Source organism: Homo sapiens, chromosome 11 (genome assembly GCF_000001405.40).
Source record: "Homo sapiens chromosome 11, GRCh38.p14 Primary Assembly".
NCBI lineage: Eukaryota > Metazoa > Chordata > Mammalia > Primates > Hominidae > Homo > Homo sapiens.
This window is the reverse complement of record NC_000011.10, coordinates 73,847,622-73,867,133: the sequence shown is the minus strand read 5'-3', so window position 1 is coordinate 73,867,133 and position 19,512 is coordinate 73,847,622. Positions and strand designations below refer to the sequence as shown.

Below are 19,512 nucleotides of genomic sequence, written 5' to 3'. Positions count from 1 at the left end.
TCTGAGGTTCAATGAGGCCAGAATAACTCAGCTTCAAAATGAATAAATGTGGAAGCCAGCACAACCCAGGTTTGTTTGCCTCTTTTCCTTTAGCAGGTTGTCTCAGGGAGGGAAGGGAAGGTATTTTCAGCCTGGAGCCAGAAGACTTGTGTTCCGTTTGGTTTCACTGCCATGTGATCCTAAGAACATCCATTTCCTTCTGGACCTCCCTCCAGAAGAGTCAAAGCTCACAGTTGTTTTGTAACCCTGAGGTTCTGGCAATCAGAGTATCTCCAGTCCCTCTTACCAGGATAAGGCATTAAGAGTAATTTCCCTTTGTCTCAGGGCAAACTAATCATGAGCAACAAAAGTTCTCTGACTCTGGCGAGAGGATAAATCATCAGCTAGGTCAGTGACACAAGAGCTCCAAGGTGACAGAATCCAGCTGCCTCCTGTGTAAGAAGCCTGACTCATCCCTGAGTGATGTGATAGAAAAAGATGGACTAGGAATCAAGAGATTTAAATCCTGCTGCCCTTTTCCAGTGACATATCCCATGACCTTGGGCAAAGGATTGCCCTCTATGGGCCCCTAACCTGTACTAGCTAAAAGAGACAATTAGGTTGGCTGCATCCTAAAGTCCTTAAGCTCCACTATCTTGTCAGTTTATGAAATCCTGATTCCTGCTTCCACATATTGATAACAGCTGAGCAACTGGAAAAGACTGTTTTTTCCAGGTTTCCAAATGGAAAACATGTGACACTGCCCATTGCCCATATGATATAGAGGCAATACACATACAGCTACCCAACTCTGCCACTGTAACATTAAAGCAACCAGAGACAGTATGTAAGTGAATAAGCATGGCTCTGATCCAATGGCAGGGAGGGGTTTTGGAACTAGATAGAGCTGGTGACTGCAGAACATTATGAATGTACTAAATAAATGCTACTGAATTACTCATTTAAAAATGTTTAAGGCCAGGGGCGGTGGCTCACGCCTCTAATCCCAGCATTTTGGGAGCCCAAGGCGGGCGGATCGCCTGAGATCAGGAGTTCAAGGCCACCCTGGCCAACATGGTGAAACCCCGTCTCTACTAAAAATACAAAAATTAGCCGGGCTTGGTGGCAGGCACCTGTAATCCCAGCTACTCAGGAGGCTGAGGCAGAAGAATTGCTTGAACACAGGAGGCAGAGGTTGCAGTGAGCTGAGATCGCGCCACTGCACTCCAGCCTGAGCAATAAGAGCGAAACTTCATCTCAAAAAAAAAAAAAAAAAAAGCCAGGCGTGGTGGCGGGCGCCTGTAGTCCCAGCTACTCGGGAGGCTGAGGCAGGAGAATTGCTTGAACCCAGGAGGCAGAGGTTGCAGTGAGCCAAGATCGCACCACTGCACTCCAGCCTGGGTGACACAGTGAGACTCTGTTTCAAAAAAAAAAAAAAGTGTAATTTTGTATGTATGAATTTCACCTCAATATACTATTTAAAAAAACACAAACAGGCAGTGGGTAGGATATGGTTTATAGGCAGTAGTTTGCTGACACCTGACCAAAATCAACTTTCAATTCTTTGCTTAAACTCAATCCAGGGAAACTTAATTAGCAGTTATGTAACATCTGCCTGAATACTATAAGTCACTCATTACCCCCACAAAGCATTTTATTTCACTTATGGGCAGAATCTGTTTCTATCTGGAGAGTCTTTTCATGTACAAAGCCAAAATGTCCTTCTCTCCAACTTCCACCCATAGAGAGTTTACTTATGTTATGATCCTCTGCTTCACTACAGGACACCATGCCAGATTGCTTTAAAGGATGAGTTCACTCTAGTTGGAGAAATACGGAAGGGGAACATGCTTCTGTGCTAAAGCATCAGGCAAAGAGAAAATAGAATCTTTTTTTTTTAAGAGAAAGGGTCATACTCTGTCAGCCAGGCTGGAGTGCAATGGCACAATCATAGCTCCTGCAGTCTTGAACTCCTGGGCTCAAGCAATCCTCCTGCCTCAGCCTCCTGAGTAGTGGGACTACAAGTGCATACCACCACGTCCAGCTAATTAAAATAAAAAGTTTGGCTGGGTGCAGTGGCTCACACCTGTAATCCCAGCACTTTGGGAGGCCAAGGCTGGCGGATCACGAGGTCAGGAGATCGAGACCATCTTGGCTAACATGGTAAAACCCCGTCTCTACTAAAAATACAAAAAATTAGCCAGGTGTGGTGGCGGGCGCCTGCAGTCCCAGCTACTTGGGAGGCTGAGGCAGGAGAATGGTGTGAACCCGGGAGGCAGAGCTTGCAGTGAGTCTAGATCGTGCCACTGCACTCCAGCCTGGGCAACAGAGCGAGACTCCGTTTCGGAAAAAAAAAAAAGAATGTTTTTGGTAAAGACAGAATGTTGCCAGGCTGGTCTCAAGCTCCTGGCCTCGAGCAGTCCTCCTGCCTCGGCCTCGCAAAGTGCTGGGATTACAGGGATGCACCACGGTGCCTGGCCAGAATATAGAATCTCTTAAAGATACTCCACAGGATGGGCCAATTTCTCTCTCTCACACACACATACATATACACATCTGCAGCAGATTTTTATTAGATGGAAGATAACAAGCATTACCTCATAGGTAAGTGGTAAGAAATGGCAAGTACAGCCAAGCCACAGAGGAGTGAGGACATTACTGGCTATGGGAATGGGTACTTATGAAATCTAAGGGTTGGGTCTCCTGATGAACTCTAACTACCCAGTAAGCTCTTCTCTTTGGCACTCAATATGACCACTGCTGGCATGAAAGGGTCTACAGTAGCTACTTCAACTTGGCCAACAGTTCTTCCAGTTCTGGTCGAGCTTTGAATCGTCCCTTGAAGTCTTCTTCAGTGTGCTAAGGAGAAGAAAAAGAAAATAAGCGGTAATTACTGCAGAGCTTTTAGTTACCCAGATATGCACAGCATCCAAAAAGGGCCCTTGAACCAGCTCTGTAGAGAATCATTCAGATTCAAGTAACTTTTATTATCTACTATGTAGCAGACTTATATTAGATACTGGGGATTCAAACTTGAATCAGACTTCCTCCTTGCTTTCAGTGAACTTATAGTCTGGTTAGAAAAGACAGATATATGAAGATTTAATGTCAAAATGCTATAACTATCACAATAGAAGCATTTGAGAGAGAGAGAGAGAATACCAAAATTATTTACATAGGAAATAAAACAAACAGGGATTGGACTGTTTTAAGGCAGCATGACCAGCACATGCTGTCTCTGTCCCCAGATCTGTATGAAACCCAAATACCAACCAGAAGAAGCTTGACAAGGATGGACTCAGAACAAGCAGAGCTGGATGGAGCAAATGGTACCAATCTAAGATGACCTCATACATCTGTGTCATAAGAAGGATCATCTTGGCAACTGGACCCAAATACTCAGTATTTAGGCTAAGACTCCTAATGTTCTCCAAGTTTTCCATGCCTGACCAAACATTCTATTGACTAGCATTCTTTATGAAATATATTCAGTCAAGCTACAGTCAAGCCTTGAAGATCCAGGAACCTTTTCTCTAACATATATTTTCCTATTTGTGTTCTGATTTATTACACCATATACTATCTTAACCCATGTTCTTTCTTCCACGCAACTGCCTGACAGGAGAGAATTCTGGGGCCTCATAGGCTCACCACCAACATCAGGATGCTGTGCTCAAAGTCAGCACTCATAGGCCACAAAGCATCATCCCTGATGCCTCAGAAGCTGGACTAATGATCACAGTGTCATCAGAGTGTACAACTTTTCTGATTATTATTTAGGTCACATTATCCACATTTCTCTGTTCTTTCTAAAGCCAGGAAGTCCAGATGTTCTTATCCTTATTTTGAGCATATGCAGGCCAGCAGGGGCCTCTTCTCAAACCAGCACCTACCTCCTTCACTGACAGTCTGACTCCTTCAGGAAGACTGCTTTGGATTATTTCCAAGAAAATTTCTGCAAACGTAGCACTCAAACCGCTGATCTGCAAAATGAAAGAAGGTGCTCTAAGAGGTGGGAGGAGCTGAAAACGAGGTAACTGGGCAGACATGGTATGGGTTCAAATGCCAGCTCCAGTAGAGTCTGGAGAGCCCAAGCGTGGAAGATTAACACCAAAACTGGTTTCTGAGCTGGCCTCTACAGGATTTCTCCTGCCATCTGCCAAGGTGCTGAGATGTTCACTGCCAATATCTGCTCCTGTGGGCATTAGATGTCATTACTGGACCAAGAGGTTTTAAAGTCCAGGGTTTCTTTCTGTTGCCCAGGCTGGAGCGCAGTAGAACAATCATAGCTCACCGCAACCTTGAACTCCTGGGTTCAAGTGGTCCTCCCACCTCAGCCTCCGAGTAGTTGGGACTACAGGCACGTGCCACCAGTCCCGGCTAATTTTTTATTTTTATTTTTTGGTAGAAACAGGGTCTTGCTATGTTGCCCAGACTGGTCAAATTCCTGGCCTCAAGGAATCCTTCCACTTTGGCCTCCAAAAGTGCTAGGTTTACAGGCATGAACCATGGCACCCAACTCAGGCTGACTTTCTTATTTATTTATTTATTTTTGAGACGGAGTCTTGCTCTGTTGGCCCCAGGCTGGAGTGAAGTGGCGCTATCTCAGTTCACTGCAACCTCCGCCTCCCAGGTTCAAGCAATTCTCCTGCCTCAGCCTCCCAAGCAGCTGAGATAACAGGTGCCTGCCACCATGCCTGGCTAATTTTTATTTTTGTTTTGTTTTGTTTTTGAGATGGAGTTTCGCTCTTGTTGCCCAGGCTGGAGTGCAATGGTGCAATCTTGGCTCACTGCAACCTCTACCTCCCGGGTTCAAGCGATTCTCCTGCCTCAGCCTCCTGAGTAGCTGGGATTACAGGCATGCGCCACCACGCCTGGCTAATTTTGTATTTTTAGTAGAGATGGGGTTTCTTCATGTTGGTGAGGCTGGTCTCAAACTCCCAACCTCAGGTGATCCGCCCACCTCGGCCTCCCAAAATGTTGGGATTACAGGCGTCAGCCACCGTGCCCAGCTAATTTTTGTATTTTTAGTAGAGCCAGGGTTTCACCATGTTGGCCAGGCTGGTCTCAAACTCCTCACCTTAAGTGATCCGCCCGCCTTGTTCTCCCAAAGTGCTGGGATTACAGGTGTGAACCACCGTGCCCGGGCACTGCCTTTTGATTCAACTCAGCTTTGCCCATATCCAGGCATACCAGGACCTGACTGGTGTCAAACGCTGTGCTAAGAACACCAAGGTGAATCAGATGTATGGTAAAAGGGCAGGCAGGGGGCTGCAAGGAACCACAAGAGAAATTCCTACCCAACTCAACCAAGGAAGATCAAAAAAACCTTCCAGGAGAGGTAGTATCTGGGTGAAATATTGAAGAAAAACAAGACTAAACTAGGAGAATTCAACAGTAATGTGGAGGATTTTGAAGGCAGAGAAAACAGCATTCAGTAAAATATAGGGGCATAACAGTGTTAGGAAATTAAAACTAGCTCCATTGGCCGGGCACAGTGGTTCATGCCTGTAATCCCAGCACTTTGGGAGGCTGAGGTGGGCGGATCACCTGAGGTCAGTAGGTTGAGACCAGCCTAACCAACATGGAGAAACCCCATCTCTACTAAAAATACAAAATTAGCTGGGCATGGTGGCGCATGCCTGTAATCCCAGCTACTCAGGAGGCTGAGGCAGGAGACCCGCTTGAACACAGGAGGCGAAGGTTGCGGTGAGCCGAGATCGCACCATTGCCTTCCAGCCTGGGCAGCAAGGGTGAAACTCTGTCTCCAAAAACAAACAAACAAACAAAAAAAAACAAACTAGCTCCACGTGTGGCTGGAGTAAATGGGCTGTGAAGAGGAAAAGCAGGAGGAGAATCATGAAGGCACCTGAGTACCAACCTAAAGCATTCAAACTATTCTATGGGCTTCTGGCATGTCAGATCTGTCACAGGATATATTATAAATAATTTAATCCTGATAATATTTAAAAAGCCAAAGATTGTACTTAGTTATTTTTTAAATTAGCATATTTAGACTTAAATTTAATATTCATTTTATTACCTTGCTGATATGTTCCTTCAGTGGATCAAAAAAGGGTGATGCCTATACCATGGAATATTATTTGGCAATAAAAAGGAATGAAGTACCAATACAACAGAGATGAACCTTGAAAACATTACGCTAAATGAAAGAAGTCTGACACAAAAGGCCATTTAATGTACAATTCCATTTAAATGAAGAGATAAATCCATAGAGATAGAAAGTAGATTAGTGGCTGCAAGGGGTTAGGGCGACCAAGAAAGAGGAGTGACTGCTAATGAGTACACGGTTTCTTTTAGGGTGAGGAAAATGTTCTAAAATTGATTGTGGGGATGGTTGCATAACTCTTTGGCTATACTAAAAACCGTTTTTATTGTATACTTCAAATTGGTAAATTGTATGATATGTCCATTATATATCAATTAATGCTCTTATTCAAAGGGGGATGATGTTAAAGCTGGGAAGCTGTGAATTTTTTATACCTCTGGGTACTCTCATGGTGGTGTGGTTGGCACCCATCATTATCTGCAGGAAGAAAAGAGGACAACTGCTAGAGATCAAAGGAAGGCAGCCACTGAGGGGTTTCAAGCGGGAAAATGACATGATCACTTGTTATGGGGGTAAAGTGAAGTGGATGAATCTGAAAGATTTTTAGGAGGTAGAAGCTATAGAATTTGGTGAATGAATGGATATCAGAGGACAAAGAAGGGTGACACATTAGGCTCAAAGGTGGGGAGGATTACAGAAAAAGAGGAAAATCAGTCCCTCTACAACTAATTTTGCATAGACAGAGTGCAGGGAGGACTCCTGTGGAACATCCAAGTCGAGAAGGCCAGTAGACAACTGGGTATCAAGTTTCAAGCCTCAGCCAACAGATCAGGACTGGAGATATATACATCTGGGGGTTATCAGTATTAAATGATGATCACTGAGGCCTAAGGAATGAATGAGACTGCATAGGGGGAAGGTATTATAAAAGGAGAGATGGAGGCATCAAGAACTGAACCTGGAGAACACTATTATTCAAGAAAGAAAAGAAAAGAGCATAATAGAAAGTGAAAAAGTGGACAGAGAAAAGAACCAGGAGAAGCAAATACATTTTTTATTCTCCTGGAGTGCCTACCTGAACCACTCGCTCATGGGTGGTAAGCACTGAGTCCAGGAGCATTTTGCTGCCTTGGTCCTGCAACTGCAACACTTCTATGGTTTTGGTTGGCATTGCATAACTGTGGGAAGGAAGAGTCAGCTATAGTGAGTGTTCACTGAAGCCAGCAGCCACTTCAATCATAGTAGTCCATGAGTATAGCCACTATGGCATGCAATAGTTCCCGGAATGTAGGGGATGCTTATCTGCAACCAGGAGCAAAGTAACTAGATCCCTCTTACCTGCTTCAAAACTCCCTAAGCAAATACACCATGTTTAATGCAGTTCTGCATCTCTAATCATACTTAATACTCCAAAAAAAAAATACAATACTCCGAATAAAACCTGGTGATTAATAATAAATAATTTGTTGCTACTGAAGAATGGCCCATTCTAAAAGAATCAAGTGACCAGATGTGGTGGCGCACACCTGTAATCCCAGCAATTTGGGAGGCCAGGGCAGCTGGATGGCTTGAGCTCAGGAATTCAAGACCAGCCTGGGCAACACAGTAAGACCCTGTCTCTACAAATATACAAAAATTAGCTAGGTGTGGTGGCACACACCTGTAGTCCCAGCTACTCAGGAGGCTGAGGTGGGCAGATTGTTTGAACACAGGAGGTCAAGGATGCAGTGAGCCAAGATTGCGCCACTGCACTCCAGCATGGGCAACAGAGGAAGACCTTGTCTCAAAAAAAAAAAAAGAAAGAAAAGAAAAGAAAAAGAAAAAAGAATCAAGCTCATCACTAGGTATGCTTTGGAGGCTAACCTTGGGTATTTAATCTGTTCTGGAGAAATAAGGCATGAAAATTAACTGTTCTAGAACAGGATTTCTCAACCTCAGTGCTACTGACATTTTAGACCAGATAATTCTTTGTTGTAGGGGCTGACCTACACATCCATATACATCCCTCTACCCACTGGGTATCTGTAGTATACCCCAAGTGGTCACAGTCAAAACTACCTCCAAACATTGTTAATTTCCCCCTGAGGGGCAACTTCTCCCAGATTATAGAGTTTATGCTTACTAAAATCAGCTTCAGCAAGTCTACGTGTTGCAGTGAAAATAACACGGAACATGGAGTCAAGTGTTGGTCCTGCTACTTATTAGCAATATTTACTTAGGTAAGTCATTCCCCCTCTGGGCCTCAGTTTCTTCATGTATAAACAAGATAACCATCTAGGCCTATTATCAACAGAGAATTGTGAAGACTGGTGTATTAATGAGATAAGACTGGACTAATGGCTACATGGAAATATGGTAGTAGTGTTGTGTTCATCTTATCAAAAAGTTCATCAAACTGAAGATAAATGAAATAAGATTCCTAAATTTTCATGTGTCACAAAATCATCACTTAATAGCAAGGGGCATGGCCCTCTATAGGTGGACCTCTACAAAAGAAGTTTAGTGTAATAGGCCAGGCGCGGTGGCTCACGCCTGTAATCTCAGCACTTTGGGAGGCCGATGCGGGTGGATCACAAGATCAGGAGTTTAGAAGTAATGGAAAATGGACTAGAGACATGACAGTCAGTCCTGGAGTTAAATATTGGCTCTGCCAATTATTACCTATTTGAATTTGGGAATTCAGGTTTCTGAGTCTCCATTTTTCTGCTATAAATTGAAAATAATAATACCTAATTCACAGAGTTGTTGTAATGATTAAATGAGATTACATAAGTAATTGCCTGGCATAAGGTCAGTAAATGCAAGATATTGCAAATTCTTTCAGGTAGTCTTTCTAAATAACATCCCTCCTGCTTTTCAGCATTATCTCTGATCTCCTCTTCTTCTGATTCAAATACAGTAATAACTTTCCAACATAAAAAAATGGGGATACAATCATAGACTTCTTATGGATGTTCAAGTGAAATAATTGTGTTTCAGAAAAATAAAAACACCCTAAAATACTATTTTTCTTTTTTGGCATTCTGCAGATAGGACTGACTAAAGTGGGAATTGTCCATTCCTGCCACTAATAATGGGTTTTATTCTTTAACACTTACTTCAGCAAGATTTCATTGATTTGTTTACTCATTCACTCAACAAATATTTACTAACAGCCTGCTCTGTTCTAGGCACCCTGATGGGCAAAGAAGTCTATGCATGCGGTGGCTCAAGCCTGTAATCCCAGCCCTTTGGGAGGTTGAGGCAGGTGGATCACCTGAGGTCAGGAGTTCAAGACCAGCCTGACCAACACGGTGAAACTGTCTCTACTAAAAATACAAAAATTAGCTGGGTGTGGTGGCAGCTGCCTGTAATCCCAGCTACGCAGGAGGCTGAGGCAGGAGAACCACTTGAACCTGGGAGGTGGAGGTTGCAGTGAGCCGAGATCATGCCACTGTACTCCAGCCTGGGCGACAGAGCAAGACTCTGTCTCAAAAAAAAAAAAAAAAAAAAAAAAAGTCTATGCGGCCAGGCGTGGTGGCTCCCACCTATAATGTGAGCACTTTGGGAGGCCAAGACAGGAGGATTGCTTAAGCCCAGGAGTTCAAGACTAGCCTGGGCAACCTACTGAGACCCTGTCTCTATTTAGAAAAAAAAAAAGGAAGAAAAAAGTCGGTCGGGCGCAGTGGCTCACGCCTGTAATCCCAGCACTTTGGGAGGCCAAGGCAGCTGGATCACCTGAGGTCAGGAGTTCGAGACCAGCCTGGCTAACATGGTGAAAACCTGTCTCTACTAAAAATACAAAAAATTAGCTGGGCGTGGTGGTGAGCGCCTGTAGTCCCTACTACTCGGGAGGCTGAGGCAGAAGAATCACTTGAACCTAGGAGGTGGAGGTTGCAATGAGCCAAGATCATGCTACCTCACTCCAGCTTGGGCGACAGAGCAAGGCTCAGTCTCAAAAAAAAAAAGGTCTATGCTTTCAAGGAGCTCACTGTGAGTGTTTTAAAGAGATAAGTAAGTATATAAACATTGTACTACAGTAAGACAAAGGCAATAATAGGTATGTGCCGAATACTATAGGGACAAGAAGGGGCGGAAAGGGGGGCTCAGGGAAAGCCTCACAGGAGGTAGTGATTTATCAAGATGTAGAACAGGCCTTTAAGTATGTAAAAGTACGTATGGGTTTTTTTATTTTTTTATTTTTTATTTTTTGTCTACACTATTTTGTACCTTCCAAATTTTCTGCAATAAACATTGCTTTGATGATCAGACAGTAAAATGGAAGGAAATAAATGAAGGAATTTAATTTCACGAGTCAATCTAACATGACAAAATAATGCTATTTAGGGGAAGTATTGCCAAGAAAGGGACAAAAGGAAGTCTGCTAGGGTGCTGGGGAGCTTCACTTTATACAAGTTATATCTCAATTTTTAAAAATGTAAGTAGATTTTTTAAAAACAGAAGAGCAGCCTCATAGTGAGTGATGCTGAGTGATGCTTTTACTCTTAGCAGAGCACAGGGGCTGGTTCAACTTCAGGCTTGGAAGCTGCTCCCAGATGAGTGAGATTTCCATCTCCTCAGGCAGCTGCTCAGCAAAGGATGCAGGCAAATTAAGGGACCCACATGAGAGGCCTCTTCTTTGCCTCTCCTTCTGGGTGAGTTGTAGCTGCAGCAGTGCAAACCACTTAGAGAACAAAAGCTGGCATCCTGCTGTCTAGCCCAATTCCATCTCAAGGTCATGGCAATCATCCCTACCCACCCTCCCCCAAGGAAAAATGGATTAAGATGAAATGAAAATCAGAAGAAAATAATTTCATCTCTGAAAGGCTGGGTAGTGAGATTGCCTAACAATACCACAGTCTGAAAACCTCAATCAATGCAGAGAATTGAGTTGCTAAAAACAAACAGCTCTTTATGCTCTGAGCTGTTTGGAGCAAAGAGCCAGCAAAGAGGCAAAAAGCAGCATATCATTCATCCTGCTGTTCTAGGAATCATGTCCGCCATGCCTGTTAGAATTCAATCCAAATCAACAAGTCTGTATTCAGTGCCTACTGTGTGTCAGGTACTTGGCAAGATCTTAGGGTTAGGCCACTAATGAAGACAGAAATAGTCCTTGCCTTACAAAGCTTAGAGTCTAATAGAAAAGACCAATAATAGTCAAGTAATTACAAGAGCAAGAAGTGCATGTTATGAAAGAGCAGTTAAATACCTTTTACTTCTTCTAAATATATAACATAAAGATCTAACTTAATGAGGTTTCCTGAAGAAGTAACATTCAAGATGACATGTAAGAAAACAAAAATAAATAAATAAATAAAGAGGCCAGGCACGGTGGCTCACGCCTGTAATCCCAGCACTTTGGGAGGCCGAGGCAGGTGGATCACGAGGTCAGGAGCTCAAGACCAACCTGGCCAAGATGGCGAAACCCCGTCTCCACTAAAAATACAAAAATTAGCTGGGCGTGGTGGCAGGCACCTGTAATCCCAGCTACTCGGGAGGCTGAGGCAGGAGAATTGCTTGAATCTGGGCAGCAGAGGTTGCAGTGAGCCGAGATCGCACCACTGCACTCCAGCCTGGGCAACGGAGTGAGACTCCATCTCAAAATAAAAAAGATGGCATCTAAGAAAAAAGTAGAAGCTAGTTAGATGAAGAGAGGAAGAGCATATGCAAAGGTCCTGAGGTGGAAAGGGACAAAAACAAAGCCAGTGTAACTAGAGGTAGAGGGAGGTGGGGAGGGAAGTGTGAAGAGAGGCAAGGCAGGCCCTGGAGCACCTAGGAAGCTACATGAGAAACTTTTATTGTGATCCTACGGGAGTGGGAAGCCATCAAAGCATTTCAAGCAGAAGAGTGACATAATCATATTTCCATCTAGAAAGATCACCATAAATGCTGTGTGGAGAACCGGTTAGAAGAATAGAGAATTAGGAAAAAAAGTAGGTTTAACTCCAGAACTTGCCACTTATTAGGTGTAGGAATAGGGCAAGCTTCTATAATAATAATAATAGTAATAGTAATAATAATAGCAGCCAACAGTTGCTGGACATAGTTCTATGTACATTATATATAATAGCTCCCTTAATTTTCACTGTAGCCTTTTAAGGTAGGTGCTTTTAGTAACCCCATTTTACAGTTGAGGAAACCAAGACACAAAGAGGTTGAGCAAACTGCCCCAATGTCATACAGTAAGAATGCAGTGGAGCAAGAAAACTCAGGCAGTTTGGCTCCAGCTTTGATACGTTGATCTACTAATACACAAAAAAATGTACTTAGCTTGTTCAGAGTGCCTCACTGATAGTAGGTGCTCAACAAATGTAACTGCCTTCCTGCTTTCACTCAAATGCAGCCAGGGCATTACAGCTGAGTTTTTTAAAGAAAGTGTTTTGGTTGGTTGTTTGTTTTTGGACTAGATAGTCTTTTAATCTATAATCCAGGAGTATACAACCATGCAGCACTGACCACTTAGCCAGATGTAAAATAAACTAGCTTCTTACCACAACTACCCTATAAACATTGCAACTAGGCCAGGCACGGTGGCTCATACCTGTAATCCTAGCACTTTGGGAGGCCAAGGCGGGCGGATCACTTGAGGTCAGGAGCTTGAGACCAGTCTGGCCAACATAGTGAAACCCCATCTGTACTAAAAATACAAAAATTAGCCAGGTGTGGTGGTGGCGGGTGCCTGTAGTCCCAGCTACTCAGGAAGCTGAGGCTTGAGAATCCCTTGAATCCAGGAGTCAGAGGTTGCAGTGAGCCGAGATCGTGCCACGGCACTCCAGCCTGGGCGACAGAGCAAGACTGACTCAAACAAACAAACAAAACATTGAAACTATTCCTTCTAAAATGACCCTAATCTTATGTGAACACACCAACTGTGGGGGAACCAGAAACTTAGCTATGTGGCAAAAAGTAAAAGCCAAAGGGAAAACAGCAATTCCGTGGTTAGTTGATGAAAAGCAGGAAATTCAGTGCCCTTCACTATAAAAGCAGCATCTGTAAAGAGTCCTAAAAATTTCAAACACTATTCCAAGGAACTGACTGACCCACTGTAGGTATGATAGTAACATTCTGTGATTGACATTTAATGTTCTTTGCCATCAACCTTTAAGAAGCTATCTCAGCCGAGCGCGGTGGCTCACGCCTGTAATCCCAGCACTTTGGGAGGCCGAGGTGGGCGGATCACGAGGTCAGGAGATCAAGACCATCCTGGCTAACACGGTGAAACCCCCTCCCTACTAAAAGTACAAAAAATTAGCCAGGCGTGGTGGCAGGGACCTGTAGTCCCAGCTACTCGGGAGGCTGAGGCAGGAGAATGGCGTCAACCCGGGAGGCGGAGCTTGCAGTGAGCCGAGATCGCGCCACTGCACTCTAGCCTGGGCAACAGAGCGAGACTCCATCTCAAAAAAAAAAAAAAAAAAAAAAAAAAAAGAAGCTATCTCTAATTCCCGCCAGCTGAAAAAAAAGTTCTTAATTATTACAACAGTAACATTAGTAACAGAATGTTTACAATGTGCCAGTGTCTGTGCTAAGTGCTGTCATGTACCATCTTGTTTCATTTTCAGAGCTCAAAGAAACAGAAAAAATTATCATCCTCATTATATAGATGAGGAAACTGAGGCTCAGAATTTCCCAAGGTCATATTGCTAATAACTGATAGAACTAGAATATGAATGCCAACAATTTGATTCCAGAGCTTGTACTCTTTTTTTTAATGTTTAATTTTTGTGGGTCCATAGCAGGTATATATATTTATAGGGTATATGGGATATTTTGATACAGGCATACAATGCATAAGAATCTCATCAGGGTAAATGGGATATCCATCATCTCAAGCATTTATCCTTTGTGCTACAAACAATCCAACTATACTCTTTTAGTTATTTGTAAATGTACAATTAAATTATCAACTATAGTCACCCTGTTGTGCTATCAAATATTAGATCTTATTCAATCTTTCTATTTTTGATACCCATTAACCATCCCCACTTCTCCCCCAGCCCCCACTGCCCTTCCCAGCCTCTGGTAACCATCAGACTACTCTCTATCTCTGAGTTCAATTGATTTTAATTTTAGCACCCACAAATAAATGACAACATGCAATGTTTGTCTTTTTTGTGCCTGGCTTATTTCACTTAACATAATAACCTCCAGTTCCATCTATGTTGTTGCAAATGACAGGATGTCATTCATTTTTATGGGTGAATACTACTCTATTGTATACATGTACATTTTCTTTATCCATTCACCTGTTGACAGACACTCCGGTTGCTTCCAAATCTTGGCTATTGTGAATAGTGCTGCAATAAATACGGGAGTGCAGATAACTTTTCGATATACTGATTTTCTTTCTTTGGAGTTTATACCTAGCAGTGAGATTGCTAGATCATATGGTAGCTCAATTTTTAGTTTTTTGAGGAACTTCCAAACTGTTCTCCATAATGGTTGTACTAATTTTCAATCCCATCAACAGTGTATAAAGGTTCCTTTTTCTCCACATCCTCGTCAACATTTGTTATTGCCTGTCTTTTGGATAAAAGCCATGATGAGATGATATCTCACTGTAGTTTTGATTTGCATTTCTCTGACGATCAGTGATGTTGAGCACTTTTTCATAGGCCTGTTTGCCATCTGTACATCTTTTAAGAAACGTCTATTCAGATCTTTTGTCGATTTTTAAATTAGATTATTAGATTTTTTTTTTTTTTTTTTTTTTTTGCTATAGAGTTGTTTGAGCTCCTTATATATTCTGGTTATTAATCCCTTGTCAGCTAGATAGCTTGCAAATATTTTCTCCCATTCTGTGGGCAGAGCTTGTACTCTTAACCACATATTATTTCAAGTGTAGTCCATAGACAAGCTGCCAGTGAACAGCCTAATTGTCACTGGTCCATGACAGACAAGAAATGTGCAACCAGTCACTAAACAAACCGCTTGATTCAGCCAAGTTTTTCTTAATATCAAGACTCTCCTAATGAAGGAAACCAAGTATTAATGTACATTTTGGCATAAGTTCCTGACATCTTCTCGGAATGGTACTTTGAGAAGCACTACTCTAAATTACTATGTTACTCTGCCTCTTTGAGCTGTAATTGCAGTTTATCTTTCACATTATGTTATAATTATGTCTCTCGGTATGTATGTACATGCATGTATGTGTGCATTCACTGTGTGTGTGTGTGTGTGTGTGTGTACGTTCCCTGAAACTAGGAGGTTCCCCTTAATATCTCCCAGAATGTCTAATGCAGTGCTCACCACATAGCAAGAAGAGGCTCAATCAATAGTTTTTGAATTAATTCATTAAAAGGACTTTCATTAATTTAGCAACTGTATACCACACAACTGGATTGTATAGTGATATTTAAGAACCTGTCATTCTTTCAATCATGACTGAATGTCTCCCATATGGCAGGCCTTGTAGTGGGTGCTAAAGAAACAAAGAACACAGTCCCCATCCAGAAGGAATGCACTGTCAGAGGGAAAAGGAACTGCCACATGAATAGATCATTCGAGCCCAGAGCACTAAGTGACATGAGGTATGTGTCAAGTGCTGAAAGAGGAACCAACTCTCTGGGGCATCAGAAAGAGATAAAGCACATTTTTAGAACTGAAGTACTGTCAGCTATGAGAGCTAAAGTCACAGCTTATTATCAAATCTCCTAAAGAACATCTTTTAGCACAGTTGCACTCTAATGTATAAAGGTTTAAAAGTTCAAATTTGGCTGAAGGACTTAAAATAAGACCCTATGTAACTGAAAATACTTGTCAGGCAGAACTGGGTTTAAATCCAGGCAAGTTACTGGTTCTGTGCTTTCAGCCTTTCTAAGCCTTGATTTCCACATCTGTTAAATGGGAATATACTAATATCTAATGAGTAAGAAAGTATAATTTTTGTTTGTCCAATATGGCGGCACCCAGTGGCGGTGTGAACTGGGAGGAGTTTGCCCAGTTCCAGGAATTACTCAAAGTGATAAGGACAAGTGATGACAGAAAATAGTATATAAATTAAACACTAAGGTTCTAACAGCTTCCTTTGTAGGGAAAATTGATGCCAGCCAAACCTGTAAACAAATTTATGGGTCTTTGATGGCAGCTCTTGCCAGTAGGAACAGAGTCATAAAAAATTGTATAGCCCAGGCCGGGCGCGGTGGCTCACGCCTGTAATCCCAGCACTTTGGGAGGCCAAGGAGGGCGGATCACGAGGTCAGGAGATCGAGACCATCCTGGCTAACATGGTGAAACCCCGTCTCTACCAAAAATACAAAAAATTAGCCAGGCGTTGTGGCAGGTGCCTGTAGTCCCAGCTACTCAGGAAGCTGAGGCAGGAGAATGGAGTGAACCTGGGAGGCAGAGGTTGCAGTGAGTCGAGATCGCGCCGCTGCATTCCAGCCTGGGCGACAGAGCGAGACTCCGTTTCAAAAAAAAAAAAAAAATTGTATAGCCCAGACCTCAGAAGTAGTAAAAAACCTCCAAGAAGAGAGAGAAAATAATTTGGACAACTTAATGTTATTAAAGCAACTTAGAAAAGAACAGACAAAGTTGAAATGGATGCAGTCAGAACTGAATGTTGAAGAAATAGTAAAAGACAAAGGCTGGAAGGTGTTTAATAAACGGTGTCAAATTCACTTCAAGCCTCCAAAGAATGAATAAAGAAAGAGAGATTTTTTTTTTAAAGGACTGGGTCATCTCATAAGAGGTAAGTATGACAGATATCAAGAGGGCAGGCTTCCTAGGATGATCTGTGAGCCAACAACAGTCCAAGACCTTTTGTTGATTTCAGCCCACTTAGCCAAGACCTCAAGTATAAATAATTCTGATAATTATGGAGTAATCAACTGCTATTTTATATTGATTCTGTAAAAAAAAAATTTTTGTTATTAAAATAATTTTCTGACTCAGTGTAAAAAAAAAAAAAGCAAGTGTAATTTTTGCCATATCCACATACTATATCATGTACTACCTTGCCACAGTGACAGATTACCTAAGCTACATTTTTGTTGTTGCTGTTTTTAAGACAGGCTCTCTACTTTGTTGCCCAGGCTGGAGTGCAGTGGCACGATCTCAGTTCACTGCAACCTCTGCCTCCCGGGCTTAAACAATATTCCTGCCTCAGCCTCCCAAGTGGCAGGGACTACAGGCGCACGCCACCAAGCCAGGCTAGTTTTTGTATTTTTTATGTAGAGACAGGATTTCACCACGTTGCCCAGGCTGGTCTCAAACTCCTGAGTTCAAGCAGTCCATGCTCCTCAGCCTCCCAAAGTACTGGGATTACAGGTGTAAGCCACTGTGCCCAAGCCTTGATTTCTTATAAAATCAAACATATACTTCACTTACTATTTGACTCAACAATCATACTCCTAGAGAAATGAAGACGTGTGTTCTCACAAAAACCTGTACATATTTATAGTGGTTTTATTCATAATTGCCAAAAACTGGAAACAACAGAAATGTCCTTCAATCAGAAAAGGAATAAACTGTGGTACATCCTTTCAATGAAACGCTACTCAGCAACAACAACAAAAAACCAAACTACTTGCAGGCAACAACATAGATGAATCTCAAATACAGTATGCTAAGCAAAAGAAGAATCAAAAAGAAAAATACTATATGATTTTATTTGTATGGAATTCTGAAAAAGGCAAAACTATAAGGACAGAACATAGATAAAAAGTTGCCACGGGGCGCAGTGGCTCACACCCGTAATCCCAGCACTTTGGGAGGCCAAGGCAGGCAGATCACCTGAGATCAGGAGTCTGAGACCAGCCTGACCAACATGGCAAAACCCCATGTCTGCTAAAAATACAAACATAAGCCGGGTGTGGTGGGGAACATCTGTAATCTCAGCTACTTGGGAGGCTGAAGCAGGAGAATCGCTTGAACCTGGGAGGCAGAGGTTGCAGTCAGCCGAGATTGCGCCACTGCACTCCAGCTCAGGAGACAGAGCAAGACTCCGTCTCAACAAAAACAAAAAACAAAAAGAATTAAAAAGGGGCTGGGTGCAGTGGCTCATGCCTGTAATCCTAGCACTTGGAAAGGCCGAGGCAGGCAGATTGCCTGACTTCAGGAGTCCGAGACCAGCCTGGGCAACATGGCAAACCCCAACTCTACTAAAAATACAAAAAATTAGCCAGGCATGGTGGCACACACCTGTAGTCCCAGCTATTCCAGGGAAGCTGAGGCAGGAGAATCACTTGAACCCAGGAGATGGAGGTAGCAGTGAGCCGAGATCACGCCACTTCACTCCAGCCTGGGTGACAGAGCAAGACTCTGTCTCCAAAATTAAAAAAAAAAAATTACAAAGGGAAGAAATTTCTACCCATGGGATTTAATGTTATTTAAGGAAAACCAGAGGGCATCCTATACTGTGTGAAATACTGAGATAAGATATGTAAAGAGCCCAGACTGGAGCAGGTAGGTAGGGAGTAAATGTTACTTCCCTCTCCTACAGTTTTCCAACAAATCCAAAAAATGCATAAAAGCAGAGCAGATAAAGAATATCTAAATACTGTAAATGGAGAGAGAAATTGTGTTAATGAATCAGAAGACTCAATATAAACAATTAAGATTTCAATTATTCCCAAATTGATCTACAGATTCAACACAATCCTAAAAAAAAAAAAAAATCCCATCGGACTCTTTTCTGTAGAATCAACAAGCTAATTCTAAAAATTTTTATGGAAAACCAAAGGACCTAGAATAGCCAAAATAATTTTGAAAAAGAAGAACAAAGTTAGAGTTGGTAATCAAACTACACTAATCAAGACAGTGGGTACAGGTGTAAGCATATATGTAACAGAATAGAGCAGAGAAATAGACCCACATATACATGGTCAACTGGCTGTCAAAAAAGGTGCTAAGATAATTCAGTGGAGAAAGAAAATCTTTCCAACAAATGGTGCTGGAAACAACTGAATATTCATATGCCAAAAAAAAAAACTTTGACCCATTATATACAAAACTAATTCAAAATGGATCACAGACCTAAATATAATACTTAAAACTATAGAACTTCTAGGAGAAAACATAGGAAAATGTTTTTTTGCAACTGGGTCAGGCAAAGATTTCTTAGATATAAAAGAAAAAGCAGAAACCATAAGAGAAAAAGATTGATAAACTGAACTTCATTAAGCTTAACTTCTGCTCTTCAAAAGACATACTGTTAAGAGGACAACAAGATAAGTCATAGACAGGAAGAAAATATTTGCAAAACACGTATCTGCAAAGGAACTGGTGGCCAGGTGCAGTGACTCACAACTGTAATCCCAGCACTTTGGGAGGTCACGGTGGGTGGATCATTTGTGGTCAGGAGTTCGAGACTGGCCTGACCAACATGGTGAAATCCCATCTCTATTAAAAATACAAAAATTAGGCCAGGCCCGGTGGCTCACACCTGTAATCCCAGCACTTTGGGAGGCCGAAGCGGGCAGATCACGAGGTCAGGAGATTGAGACCATCCTGGCTAACACGGTGAAACCCCGTCTCTACTAAAA

The 19,512-nt window shown here is 42.4% G+C and overlaps 1 protein-coding gene and 1 pseudogene across 10 annotated transcripts in view, besides 1 other annotated feature; one reads left to right on the top strand and one right to left on the bottom strand.

Moving 5' to 3' along the window:
• Positions 216-510: a silencer, noted in NCBI's record as "tiled region #5745; K562 Repressive DNase matched - State 18:Pol2". NCBI's record gives its function as "represses a minimal TATA promoter and a strong SV40 promoter by Sharpr-MPRA in K562 cells {active_cell/tissue: K562}" and the evidence as "EXISTENCE:reporter gene assay evidence [ECO:0000049][PMID:27701403]".
• The window catches only part of MRPL48 (mitochondrial ribosomal protein L48), a 77,260-nt gene continuing 59,748 nt past the window's right edge, over positions 2,001-19,512 (bottom strand). For 8 of the 10 annotated variants that reach the window (NR_134659.2, NR_134660.2, NR_134658.2 and 5 more), the window contains 3 exons: positions 7,125-7,227; positions 3,873-3,962; positions 2,001-2,838 (listed from right to left, as the gene is read on the bottom strand). Coding sequence is in view for 6 of the 10 variants with exons in the window: in XM_047427121.1 (XP_047283077.1) it covers positions 2,764-2,838; positions 3,873-3,962; positions 7,125-7,227 (268 nt within the window). In the remaining 4 variants the exon portion in view is untranslated. The remainder of the gene's footprint in view (positions 2,839-3,872; positions 3,963-7,124; positions 7,228-19,512) is intronic. The other 2 variants (NR_134661.2, NM_001318500.2) reach the window with 1 other exon arrangement.
• MIX23P5 (MIX23 pseudogene 5) lies at positions 15,920-16,925 on the top strand (annotated as a pseudogene).